Below are 12,876 nucleotides of genomic sequence, written 5' to 3'. Positions count from 1 at the left end.
GGGAACCAGAACTGATGGAAGCCTGCTCTTGACCGGGGCGGGGATCTGCAGGGCATCTGTCTCTCTGCTGGCTTAGGAGGCTCCCACCCCCAGGGAGGGCAGGACTCACTTCTGGGCCTCAGTGTCAGGAACATGGCTGGCTGGGAGTAGGCGGTGGGAGGATGGATAGATATTTGCTGGCCCAGTGAAAGACAGAGTGAGGGTTGTGCCTAAACACGATGCCAGATCCTCTTCCGGGGCTCCAGCTGGCACCCAGAGCTGAAGAGACAGGCTTTAGGATGAAACTTCCCTTCTGCCAAAAATAACTAGTGCCAGCTGGGCATTGTGGCACAAGTCTGTAGTCCCAGCTACTCAGGCGGCTGAGGCAGGAGGATTGCTTCAGCCCAGGAGCTTGAGGCCAGCTTGGGCAACATAGCAAGACTCTCTCTCTAAAAAAAAATTCATAAAAAACCATTGCAGCTTCCTGAATCTTCCCCGGCAGCCTGGGGTGGGGTCTCCTTTTCAGAGCTGCCTCCAGACTTTGTCCTTCCCTATTCCACCTTCCTCTTCTTGTTGCCATCACAGCCCTGCCACCCCCCAGCCACACCCCCTTGATCATTTGCTGAAGATTTTAGCACCTGGCTCTGGCATGCTTTCCACCTTCAACACTCACATCAAGGCACCTGGATCTCTTCTCCGCCCACAATCTTACCTTCCATCTTCGGGTATAGATGCTGCCAGGAGAGCTCTCCATCTGCTCCCAAGGCCACGTTTCCCAACTCCCTGCAGCTAGGTCTGCCTTCCCTCCTAGCATTGTGGATGGGCCTACCAGGGCCAGGACTAGGGTGAGACAGGCCAGCAAGGCGCCCAGGGCATAAAAGTTAAAGAGTCACTCACCCCCGGGGTCATACCAGTAGAGGGTCGGCACCTGAGAATGAATGCCTTCTAAATTTTACACTTGCTTGTCTTGCTCTAGTCCCAGCTCTGGGACCTACCCATGGACACTAGACCCTGGTCCCCTCCCACGTCCCCAGGGCTGTCTCTTTGGTAGCAGCATCCCTCCCATCAGCTGCAAACACAGCTTCTGTGTAAATGCCACCATCAAAGCCTGCCTTGACCCACTTTGCCCTCTAGCTATTGCTCCATTCTTCTGTTTTTCCCCTTCCTTCCTTCCTTCCTCTTTCTTTCTCTTTCTTTCTTTCTCTCTTTCTTTTTCTTTCTTTTCTTTCTTTCTTTCTTTTTATTTCCTCTCTTTTCTTTGTCTCTCTTTCTTTTCTTTCTCTTTCTTCTTTCTTTCTTTCTTGCTTTCTTTCCCTCCCCCCCACTTCCTTCCTTCCTTCCTCTCTTTCTTTCTTCCTCTTCTTTTTTGTTTTTTTGGAGACAGGGTCTCACTCTGTCACCCAGGGTAGAGTATAGTGGCATGATCTTGGCTCACTGCAGCCTCAATCTCCTGGGTTTAAGTGATCCTCCCACCTTGGCCTCCCAAGTAGCTGCGACTACAGGTGCATGTGTGCCGTCATGCCTGGTTATTTTTTTACTTTTTGTATGTTTTTTGTAGAGATGGGATCTCCCTATGTTGACCAGGCTGGTCTCGAACTCCTGGGCTCAAGAAATCCTCCTCCCTCCACCTCCCAAAGTGCCAGGATTACAGGCGTGAGCCACCATGCCTGGCCCTTCTGTTCTTATTTCTAGGAAAGCTAGTCATCCACCTTTGCTGTCTCCAGTTTCTCTCCTTCCAGTCTCCACCAGAAGTTGCTCTCGACCTCCACCCAACAGCATGGCCTGTTGTTGATTCAATGTCTCCCATCCAACTCACTGTGGCCCCAGCCATCCTCCCAGCCTCCTGCCTTGGTAGATGCTAACTCTGCCCTTAATTCTCATGTCCTAATTAATACCTGGGTTGTGGGTGCTAAGAGGTCCCCAGCTCCTCCCAGCTCAGAGTCCAGTGACAAAGCTCCTTTACATTAACAGGTCAACTTCTTCCAAATCCCTGGGCTGCTGTCCATGACTACTGGGGGGAACATGCCCATGGATTCCACCATTTACTGTGCTATGGTTCAGAGGTCTTGGCATCGATGATGACTGAGGGAATCATAAAAATGTGAAATGAAGGGCAGGCATGGTGGCTCACACCTGTAATCCCAGCACTTTGGGAGGCTGAGGCAGAAGGATCACTTGAGCTCAGGAGTTCGAGACCAGCCTGGGTAACATAGTGAGACCCTATCTCTACAGATTTTTTTTTTTTTTTAATTCGCTAGGCTGGTGTTGCACGCCTTTAGTTGCAGCTACTTAGGAGGCTGAGGTGGGAGGATTGCCTGAGCCCAGGAAGTCAAGGCTGCAGTGAGCTATGATCGTGCCACTGCACTGCAGCCTGGGTAATAAAGGGAGACTCTGTCTCAAGAAAAAGAAGTGAAAGGAAAAGAAGAGTCATCTCGGGAGCACATTTCTCTGTGTGTGAGGAAATGTTACATATATAGTAAATATAGAGAGATAGAGACACAGAGAGAGAGATAGTCAAAAGCAGAGGCTAAAAGTCCAAGGAACCAATTGCAATGAGGTGCCACTAAACATGCATTTAAAAAAATCAGGGTCAGGTGTGATGGCTCACACCTGTAATCCTAGCAATTTGGGAGGCTCAGACAAGAGGATAGCTTGAGCCCAGGATTTTGAGATTAGCCTGGGCAACATAATGAGATCCCATCTCTACAGTTTTTTTTCTTTTCTTTTTTTTTTTTTTTTTTTTTGAGTCAGAGTCTCGCTCTGTTGCCAGGCTGGAGTGCAGTTGTGCAATCTCAGCTCACTGCAACCTCCACCTCGTGGGTTCAAGCAATTCTCCTGCCTCAGCCTCCAGAGTAGCTGGGACTACAGGTGCACACCACCACGCCCAGCTAATTTTTGTATTTTTAGTAGAGACAGGGTTTCACCATGTTGGCCAGGATGGTCTTGATCTCTTGACCTCGTGATCTGCCTGCCTCAGCCTCCCAAAGTGCTGGGATTACAGGCATGAACCACCACGCCTGGCTACAGAATTTTTAAAAATGCCTGTTTTGCTAGCTACTCAGGAGGCTGAAGTGGGAGGATTCCTTGAGCCCGGGAGTTCAAGTTTACAGCGAGCTATGATCATGCCACTGCACCCTAGCCTTGCTGACAGAGAGACCCTGACTCTATAAAAACGAAAACAAAAACCTGAAAAAATCAGATTTAAGGCCCATAAGACCAAGTTTTAGTGAAGATAGAAAGCATCTGGAACCCTCACAGATGGCTGGTAGGGTTGCAAAAATCATATAGTCATTTTGGAAAACAGTTTGGCATTTTATTTTTTTTAAAAAATCAGCCTAGGTGACAGAGCAAGACTCCGTCACACACACACACAAAATCTATGTATTTGTCGTGTAGTGTAGATATTTATTTATTTATGTATTTTGAGAGTCTTGCTCTGTCGCCCAGGTTGGAGTGCAGTGGTGCAATCTCAGCTCATTGCAACCTGTGCCTCCTAGGTTCAAGCAATTCCTGTGCCTCAGCCTCTGAAGAAGCTGGGATTACAGGCATGCGCCACCATGCCCGGCTAATCTTTGTATTTTTAGTAGAGACGGGGTTTTACCATGTTGGCCAGGCTGGTCTCAAACTCCTGACTTCAGGTGATCCATCTGCCTCGGCCTCCCAAAGTGCTAGGATTACAGGCGTGAGCCACTGCGCCCAGCCTAGTGTAGATCTTTAAATAGGGGGCGTTTTCTTTAAAAGTGAAACACACCCTTGCCATATGACCCAGAATGGCATTATATGGTGAGTGTCCAATCTCAGCTATCTACCCCAAAGAAATGAAAGGTTTGTCTGAAAATGTTCACAGCAGCTTTATAAAAATACCCCAAAAATGGAAGTCACTCAAATGTGCACCCACTGATTGTAGGGAAAAGAAAGAGAGATCAGACTGTTACTGTGTCTGTGTAGAAAGGGAAGATATAAGAAATTTCATTTTGACCTGTACCCTGAACAATTGCTTTGCCCTGAGATGCTGTTAATCTGTAACTTTGCCCCAGCCAATTTGCCCCAACCTCTTTGCCCCAACCTTGAGCTCACAAAAACATGTGTTGTATGGAATCAAGGTTTAAGGGATCTAGGGCTGTGCAGGACGTGCCTTGTTAACAAAATGTTTACAAGCAGTATGCTTGGTAAAAGTCATCACCATTCTCTAGTCTCAATAAACCAGGGGCACAACGCACTGCGAAAAGCTGCTGGGACCTCTGCCTTGGAAAGCCGGGTATTGTCCAAGGTTTCTCCCCGCCTGTGATAGTCTGAAATATGGCCTCTTGGGATGAGAAAGTCCTGACCGTCCCCCAGCCCGACACCCATAAGGGGTCTGTGCTGAGGAGGATTAGTAAAAGAGGAAGGCCTCTTGCAGTTGAGATAAGAGGAAGGCCTCTGTCTCCTGCCTGCCCCTGGGAACGGAATGTCTCGGTATAAAACCCGATTGTACATTTGCTCAATTCTGAGATAGGAAAAAAAACGCCCTGTGGCGGGAGGCAAGACATGTTGGCAGCAATGCTGCTTTGTTATGTTTTACTCCACTGAGATGTTTGGGCAGAGAGAAACATAAATCTGGCCTACGTGCACATCCAGGCATACTACCTCCCCTCGAACTTAATTATGACACAGATTCTTTTGCTCACATGTTTTCTTGCTGACCTTCTCCCCACTATCACCCTGCTCTTCTGCCGCATTCCTCTTGCTGAGATGGTGAAAATAATAATCAATAAAAAGTGAGGGAACTCAGAGACCGGTGCCGGTGCAGGTCCTCCATATGCTGAGCGCCAGTCTCCTGGGCCCACTTTTCTTTCTCTATACTTTGTCTCTGTGTCTTATTTCTTTTCTCAGTCTCTCATCCCACCTGATGAAATATACCCACAGGTGTGGAGGGGCAGGCCACCCCTACACTGATGAATTAATAAAGTTGCGTATATTGGCGAGGCACACCGGCTCACTTCTATAATCCCGGCACTTTGGGAGGCCGAGGCGGGAGGATTGTTTAAGCCCAGGAGTTCAAGACCAGCCTGAGCAACATAGCAAGATCCTGTCTCTAAAGAAAAAGAAAGGGAGTATATTTATACATGGAATACCACTCCACGATAAAAGAAAAGAACTACTGGTTGAATTTCAAAAACACAATTGACAGAAGCCAATCGCAAGTTATTTCATTTATATAATTAGTACTATCATATTAATTTATAATTTGTATTATTTCATTCATATTCTAGAAAATGCAAACTATAGCAACAGAAAGCAACTCGATGGTTGCTTAGGAGCATGGATCAGGACGATTGACTGCAAAAGGGCTTGAGGGAATTTTGGAGTGATAGAAATATTGTAAAACTCCACGTGGTGGTGTTTGCATGTCTTATACATTTACTCAACGTGATCAAACTGCACACTGAAAATGGGTGAGTTTAGGCCAAGCACAGTGGTTCACATCTGCCTGTAATCCTACCAATTTGGGAGGCCTAGATGGAAAGATCACTTGATCCTAGGAGTTGGAGACCAGCTGGGTAACCTAGTGAGACTTCGCCTCTACCAAAAATAAAAAATAAAAAAATTTAAGTTCTCCAGCCATGGTGGCATGTGCCTGTGGTCCTGGCTACTTGGGAGGCTGAGGTGGGGGATGGCTTGAGCCCAGGAGGTGGACGCTGCAGTGAGCTGTGATTGTGCCACTGCATTCCAGCCTAGGTGACAGAACGAGACCTTGCCTCAGAAAAAAAAAAAAAAAAAGGGTGGGGGGAGGTAAATTTAATTGTAAGTTATTTCACTATAAAGCTGTTAAAAAATAACTATTAAGTCTAAACAGTAATCCTGGGAATGTATATTGGGAAACTATATTGTACCTCTGCAGAACTGAAAAACATACAGAGACAGGCATGCAGCCGGTGTTCAATAAATGCTTTCAGAATGTAGTGGAAACATTATGCACCAGTGTTTATTGAAAGGAAAGTCTCCCTGCTCTCTCAAGTTCAAGTCAGCCCAGGTTTAACATTATCCTTGTCTGCCACCTGGTGGCCCAAATGGGCAAAGTGGGTGTCCTGGTCTTTCGCTCCAAACTTCAAAAAGCTGTAGTTGGGCTTAAAGGCCGTGGATGGAAAGAAGGGAGACTTTCGCCCTGGAAATCCGGTGCCCCGAGAGGCAAGTTGGTCAGAGGTAGGGGTATAAGGGGATTATTAGGGTCTATGGGACTAGAATACAGCCTCTTAATGACAGAGGGAATATACTTTGGTGAAACCAAGAGGCCGATTGAACACAATTGGCCACCTTTGCACACTGAGATAAAATATGAGGAGGATTTTTGCGAAGCCAGGAAGGAGAAAAGTTTAGGGACAACAATGAGGTAAGTAGGAAAATAATCATATGGACACACATGGTGAGTTCGGGGATGCTCAGGGGGCTGAAAGGTTGGCAAGGGAATTCTGAAAGGCCAGAGAACATCTCCCTGGGTGGAGAGGCTCCTGGGAGCCAGGGAACAGGAATCTCTTTTCTTAGATATGCCTGGACCTTTGGACCCTCAATCCCACTTCCGGGGCACACCCCACAGGTAAACATCTTCGCGAGTGTGCTACGATCCTGTGAGTAGGGGCCTTACAGTGTCTGTAGAACCACTGAGAAGAAGAGCAACCTTCAGGAGACGGCCACTGAGGAATCGGCTTGGCTTTCCTGGCAACTGTACAGGAGGCCCAGGCTCAGGGGCCTGTGGACAAGCCCAGTCTTGCTTCTTACAAAAATGGGTTGAGTCACCTCTGCAGGACACAGATAGGCGAGGAGGTGGCTTGTTTTTGTTTGTTTGTTTTTGTTTTTGTTTTTAGATTGAGTCTTGCTCTGTCACCCAGGCTGGAGTATAGTGGCACAATCTCAGCTTACTATGATCTCCGCCTCCAGGGTTCAAGCAATTCTCCTGGCTCAGCCTCCCAAGTAGCTGGGATTACAGGGATGTGCCACCACGCTTGGCTAATTTTTGTGTTTAGTAAAGACAGGGTTTCACCTTGTTGGCCAGGCTGGTCTCGAAATCCTGACCTCAGGTGATCCACCTGGCTTGGCCTCCCAAAGTGCTAGGATTACAGGCATGAACCACCGCACCTGGCCTGTAAAGGTGGCTTGTTTTAAATGTCAATGATAGACGACATTTAGTGGGACAAAAGGGGAGTATAGGAACTTTTACATTTTCAGTAGTTGGTGACCTTGGTGGCTGAAATCTGGGAGCTCTAAGTGCTATGGTTTAAATGTTTGTATTGCCTCAAAAATTTGTATGGTGAAACCTAATCCCCAATGTGATGGTGTCAAGAGGTGGGGACTTCAGGAGGTGAAGGGGATTAGTGTCCTTACAAAAGAGGCCAGATGGAGCTTGTTTTCCCTTTCCTCCAGGGGAGCACACAATGAGAGGCTGCCATCTATTAACCAGAGAACAAGTCCTTGCCAGACAGCAAATCTGCTGACACCTTGATCCTGGACTTCTAAGCCTCTATAACTGTAAGCAATACATTTCTGTCACATGAAGGCACCCAGTTTATAACATCAATCTGTAAAATTTTTTTTTAAGTTTTATATCAGTATAGGAAACTTTTTTTTTTGAGACAGGGTCTTGCTGTATTGCCCAGGCTGGAGTGTAGTGGCACAATCACGACTCACTGCAGCTCTGACCTCCCAGGCTCAAGTGATCTGCCCGCCTCAGCCTACTGAGTAACTGAGACTACAGGTGCGTGCCACCACATCCAGCCAATTTTTGAATTTTTTTTTTGTAGAGATGGCGTTTCTCCAAGCTGCCTAGGCTAGCGTCAAAGTCCTGGGCTCAAGTTCAGGAGGCCCACCTCGGCATCCAAAAGTGCGGGGATTATGGGCATGAGCCACCGTGCCTGGCCGAAACCGGTAGTATTTATTTATTTTTTTTTTTGAGACAGACCCTCGCTCTGTCACCCAGACTGGAGTGCAGTAGTGCGATCTTGGCTCACTGCAACCTCCGCTTCCTGAGTTCAAGTGATTCTTGTGTCTCAGCCTCCTGAATATGTAGGATTATAGGTGTGCACCACCAAGCCTAGCTAATTTTTGTATTTTTAGTAGAGACAGGGGTTCACCGTGTTGGCTAGGCTGGTCTCAAACTCTGGGCCAGCTACTCAGCTACTCAGGAGGCTAAGGCAGAAGGAATTCGACGCTGCATGAGCTATGATCCCGCCTTTGCACTCTAGTCTAGGCAACAAAGCAAGACCCAGTCTCCAGAAAAAACATAGTGTGACTGCTGTGGGGATCAGGGAGGGAGGAAGTGATGGAAAATTGCCTAACAGAGAAAATCAGTCCTCTTAATCGATAAAGAATTTCTACAAACAAAGAATATGTCATGTATACAACAGAAAAAGTAGCATAAGAATGTGTTCAGAATAAGCACTACAAATCAGTGTCTCTCAAATAAACGAAGAGATCTTTAAGTCATTCATAGTAAGAGAAATGCACATTGAATTCTCACTGTGATGTCAACCACTCATTTTGTGGTATCCCAACAAGCAAGATAATCAGACGTTACATATTTTCTATCAGAAGTATGCAGCACCACATGTGAAGTGGTCCTCCAAAAAACAAAACAAAATAAAACCTAAAACCCAAATCTGATTATGCCTCTAGAATATAAATACAAGTTTACACAGTAGACAGGGGATAGAAGAACTGTTAAAAGACACCACCCGGATGCAATCAGCAAAACCTAAATGGTGGGATCCTCTCCAGAACAAATAAACTGGTTTCTTCCACATGCAACAAAATTTAGAAAGAAAATTAAAGAGAGGCAGATGGTAAATCTGAAGACTGAAAGAGATTCAAGAAACACATAAAAATGACAGATAATAATAAGTGTTGGTAAGGATATGGAAAACTTGGAACTTTCATACATTGCCAGGGGAAAGGAAAATGGTGCAGCTGCTTTGGAAAACAGTCTGGCAGTTTTTCAGGGGATTAAACATGGAGTTGCCATATGACTCAGCAATTCCACTCCTAACTATAAAGCCAAGACAATTGGTGGGGCATGGAGGCTCACGCCTGTAATCCAAGCACTTTAAGAAGTCAAGGTGGGTGGATCACCTGAGGTCAGGAGTTTGAAACCAGCCTGGCTGACATGGTGAAACCCTATCTCTACTAAAAATACAAAACTTAGCCAGGCGTGGTGGCATGTGCCTGTAATTCTAGCTACTTGGGAGCTGAGGCATGAGGATCCCTTGAACCCAAGAGGCAGAGGTTGCAGTGAGCCTGGGCAACAGAGTGAGACTCCATCTCAAAAAAAAAAAAAAAAGAGAAAAAAGAAATATCTACTTATTTGCAAAGTATGAACGTTATTTGAATCCTGATTTAAAAAAAAACTTGTATTAATACAAGTATCATTTATAAATACTAAAGAACACGACCATATATTTGATTAAATTGAGAACATATTATGTTGTGGAAATACACACATACATATATATGTTCCTTTTCTTTAGTAGGACATGATGAAAACTTTACAGATGATATGATGTCTGGGATTTGTTTCAAATAATGATGCAAGAGAGAGGTGGCCATCCGGAAAACACCAGGTTATATTCAACCTGAGAAAGCTGATTTAAAACAGAAACAAAAACAAGATCTTTGTTATTGCTGAAGACGGACAATGGGTATGTTGGATTTCTTATACTACTGTTTCTACCTCAGACTTGGCTCATCCTTTGGTGCTGTGCAGCCCTTGAGCAGGCTTGACCCTCTCTGTGCCTCAGGGAGGTTCACCTGCTGTTCTTATTCCCACCAGCTCCCACCTGCCTGGCACTTTCCCTTTTGGAACCTCAGGTTCTGCTTCTGTAGGATTTGGGAAATCTGAGCCCAGTTTCATAATAAAAAGTCAGAAAACAGGTCAGTCGCAGTGGGTGACTTTGGTAATCCTAGCACTTTGGGAGGCCGAGGTGGGTGGATCACTTGAGGTTAGGAGTTCGAGACCAGCCTAGCCAACATGGTGAAAGCCTGTCTCTACCAAAATATATAATATATTTGTCAGACACACATATGTTTATAATATAATATAATATACATCTAAATATTGGACTCCGTCTGTTGCCCAGGCTGGAGTGCAGTGGTGTGATTGCAGCTCACTGCAGCCCCCACCTCCTGGGCTTGAGATCCCCCCATCTCAACTTCCCAAGTACTTGGGAACACAGTTGTGTGCCACCATGCCTGAGAGTCCTTTTTTTTTTTTTTTTTTTTTTTTTGGTAGAGACAAGTCTTGTTGCCCAAGCTGGTCTCTAACTCCTAGCCTCATGTGATCCTCCCATCTCTGCCTCACACAGTGCTGGGATAACAGGTGTGAGCCACTGTGTCTGGCCCAAAATATTTCAAAAGGTAGCCATCTGTGAGGCCAGGCAGATCTTCCTGCTGGGCTCCTGGTGAATTCTAGAATGTGATCAAGGGCAGGCATGGGAGGAAGCCCTGCAGGAGTGCACCATGGGGCGAATATGGACTCCACCTGGGCAGATTAAATTGGGAAAGGGTCGGGAGAGGCAGTCAGATCATACACTTAGGAGAGTTTCAGGTGAGAGGACCAAAGGCCAAAACACTCCCGGAGCTTCGAAAAGGGCCTGGAGAAGCCTGGCAGGCACACAGAGCCTTCACCTTTGCCCTGGAAGCCAAGTTGTGCCCTTGCCCAGGATGAGGTAAATGGCGTGAGGGACACCACGAGCTCTTTGGCTCTTGTTTCTGGAGACAGATTTTTGTTTTTTCACCCAGGCTGGAGTGCAATAGTGTGATGAAGGCTCACTGCAGCCTCAACCTCCCCTACTAAAGTGATCTCCCACCTCAGCCTCCCAAGAAGCTGGGACTAGAGGTCACAGGCCACCACAGCCCATTAATTTCTTTTAATTATTTTGTACACTCTGAGTCTATGTTGCCCAGGCTGGCCTCCAACTCCTGGGATCAAGCGATTCTCCCCCTTGGCCTTCCAAAATGCTGGGATTAAAGGAGTGAGCCAATCGCACCCAGCCACTGCGGCCTCTTAGATCTGCTTTAGGATTTGGAGCCTGGGGGCTTCTGTTCCCCAAGGACCACTAACCTTGTCTGAGGCCCCTTTGGAGGGCTCAGCGCGCCCCCTTGGCCAAGGACGCCACACATTGAGAGCCAGCTGCTGCCAGAAGCTATTACTGTTATTACCGGCCGGCAGCACAGGCTACAGCCACAATCGTAAGAGGGAAATGGACTGAATCCCCACACCCCAATCCCTCACTCACTCCGACCCGAGGCTGTCTACCCGGCCTGGCATGTCCCGGCGCTCCTGGGGCCCCTGTACTCCGCTGGTTCCTCGCTGTGGTGTCCCGCAGCCCGACCATTTCTGTGCTTCTAGGAGCCCACCCTGGGCGGCAGGGAGGCGTTGCGTGGGGCTCACGAGTTCCACGCTGTCATCTCCACCAGCTCCTACCTCCCAGGCGCCTGCCCTCCCGCACTGTCAGGTTCTGCCTCCGCAGCATTTGGCAGATCTGAGCCCGGTCCCTGTCACCCCTCCGCGGGAGCCTCATAGTGACCCTGGAGGAGAAGCAGCAGGAGCCCACAGGCCACCGCGCTCGGCCGCGCGTGAAGTCTGTGCAGCCGCATGGTCGGCTCGCTGGTCTCGGTTCTCTGCCGACGGACACGCTGCTGTTCACCCAGAGGCTGCCCCGGGTCGGTCCAGCCGTGGATCCAGTGCCTTGCCCAGCCTCGGAGTTTGGACTGGGCAGGGAGTCGGCGGGGTGCGCTGACTTGGGCCGGGAAAGGTGGGTTGGTAGGAGAGCAGGACTGAACAGTCATAGGTGGGTGGGGATCTAGTGGTAGGCAGGCCCGGGCACGGCCACTTCCCTTCTGCCCGGGCCCCTTTGGCATCCTCAGAAGGGGCTGCGCGGCTTCTGTAGTCCTCCGCGATCCAGAGAATCCTCTCCTCAAACCTGTCGTTGTCCACAGGCCCGATGAGCGCGCTGGGGGATCGATAGGAGGGGGCAATAAACTAGAATTGGAGATCCCAAGAGGGCTTCTCTGAGGAGGTGCACGTTCAGGATCCCCACAGTTGGAGAAATGGGAAGGAACTTGATCGGGGTGAAGGAACCGCTTGAGCAAAGGCAGGGAGGCGTGACGGCGCCCTTCATTCTGGAAGCTCCTCCTTGCTTTCAGGACTCAGTTTCCTGGGTTCCCCTTCACGGCCCCTCATCTCCTTACAGTCCAGGGTCTGAGGGTCTCCGCGGTCCCCTCCCTACTCAGTCACGCCATTCTTTTGAAACGTACACGTGACCGCGGCACTTCTTAAGGAGCGCCCCCCTTTTCCTCGGTGGCTTTCAGTTTCCTCACCTCCCGCGGAGACCAGGGCCATGGTCATTTATCCTCTTGACGAACATTTCACGAGCGCCTGCCGCTCCGAGCGATGGGGACCCGGCACTCCCAGGCCTCTGTTGCAGCAGGGGAGGCAGGCGCGTCACCTGGAGGTCCCGAGACACTGGGAGCCCTGCCAGGCCAGAGGCGACCAACTGGTCTGGGAACGGGAGTGTACTATGGTCCTGTAACTATGGGCCTTACAGTGTCTGAAGCCCGGAGGTGGAGGCTGCAGTGATCTGTGATTGCACTACTGCATTCTAGCCTGGGTGACAGGACTAGACCTTGTCTCAAAAAAAAAAGGGGGAGCAGGGGGTAAATTGTAAGTTATTTCACAATAAAGCTGTTAAAAAAAGAACTATTAAGTCTAAACAGTAATCCTGGGAACTGACTTTGGGAAGGTATATTGTACATCTGCAGAACTGAAAAACATACAGAGGCATGCATGCAGCTGGTGCACAATAAACGCTTTCAGAATGTAGTGGGAACATTATGCACCAATCAGTGTTCATTGAAAGGAAAGTCTCCTCC

The 12,876-nt window shown here is 48.2% G+C and overlaps 1 long non-coding RNA gene across 2 annotated transcripts, besides 5 other annotated features; it reads left to right on the top strand.

Annotated features, from left to right (window-relative positions):
* Positions 2,489-2,538: an enhancer, noted in NCBI's record as "active region_10948". NCBI's record gives its function as "activates an Ori minimal core promoter by ATAC-STARR-seq in GM12878 lymphoblastoid cells {active_cell/tissue: GM12878}" and the evidence as "EXISTENCE:reporter gene assay evidence [ECO:0000049][PMID:35858748]".
* Positions 2,549-2,598: an enhancer, noted in NCBI's record as "active region_10947". NCBI's record gives its function as "activates an Ori minimal core promoter by ATAC-STARR-seq in GM12878 lymphoblastoid cells {active_cell/tissue: GM12878}" and the evidence as "EXISTENCE:reporter gene assay evidence [ECO:0000049][PMID:35858748]".
* On the top strand, positions 6,063-11,405 carry LOC107984881 (uncharacterized). 2 transcript variants are annotated; one of them, XR_007065090.1, is made up of 4 exons: positions 6,086-6,162; positions 7,378-7,482; positions 9,474-9,644; positions 11,354-11,405. It is a non-coding gene; the product is annotated as an uncharacterized LOC107984881 (long non-coding RNA). The 2 variants fall into 2 exon arrangements; XR_001752245.2 differs by lacking the exon at positions 11,354-11,405 and having other exon boundaries at positions 6,063-6,162; positions 9,474-9,875.
* Positions 8,433-8,633: a silencer, noted in NCBI's record as "peak2621 fragment used in MPRA reporter construct". NCBI's record gives its function as "represses an SCP1 promoter by STARR-seq MPRAs in K562 erythroleukemia cells {active_cell/tissue: K562}" and the evidence as "EXISTENCE:reporter gene assay evidence [ECO:0000049][PMID:32103011]".
* Positions 8,633-8,833: a silencer, noted in NCBI's record as "peak2620 fragment used in MPRA reporter construct". NCBI's record gives its function as "represses an SCP1 promoter by STARR-seq MPRAs in K562 erythroleukemia cells {active_cell/tissue: K562}" and the evidence as "EXISTENCE:reporter gene assay evidence [ECO:0000049][PMID:32103011]".
* Positions 9,679-9,728: a silencer, noted in NCBI's record as "silent region_7573". NCBI's record gives its function as "represses an Ori minimal core promoter by ATAC-STARR-seq in GM12878 lymphoblastoid cells {active_cell/tissue: GM12878}" and the evidence as "EXISTENCE:reporter gene assay evidence [ECO:0000049][PMID:35858748]".
* Positions 11,406-12,876: the final 1,471 nt, after the last annotated feature.

Source organism: Homo sapiens, chromosome 16 (genome assembly GCF_000001405.40).
Source record: "Homo sapiens chromosome 16, GRCh38.p14 Primary Assembly".
NCBI lineage: Eukaryota > Metazoa > Chordata > Mammalia > Primates > Hominidae > Homo > Homo sapiens.
Note: the sequence above shows the minus strand (reverse complement) of the source record. Positions and strands in the feature narration are given on the sequence as shown.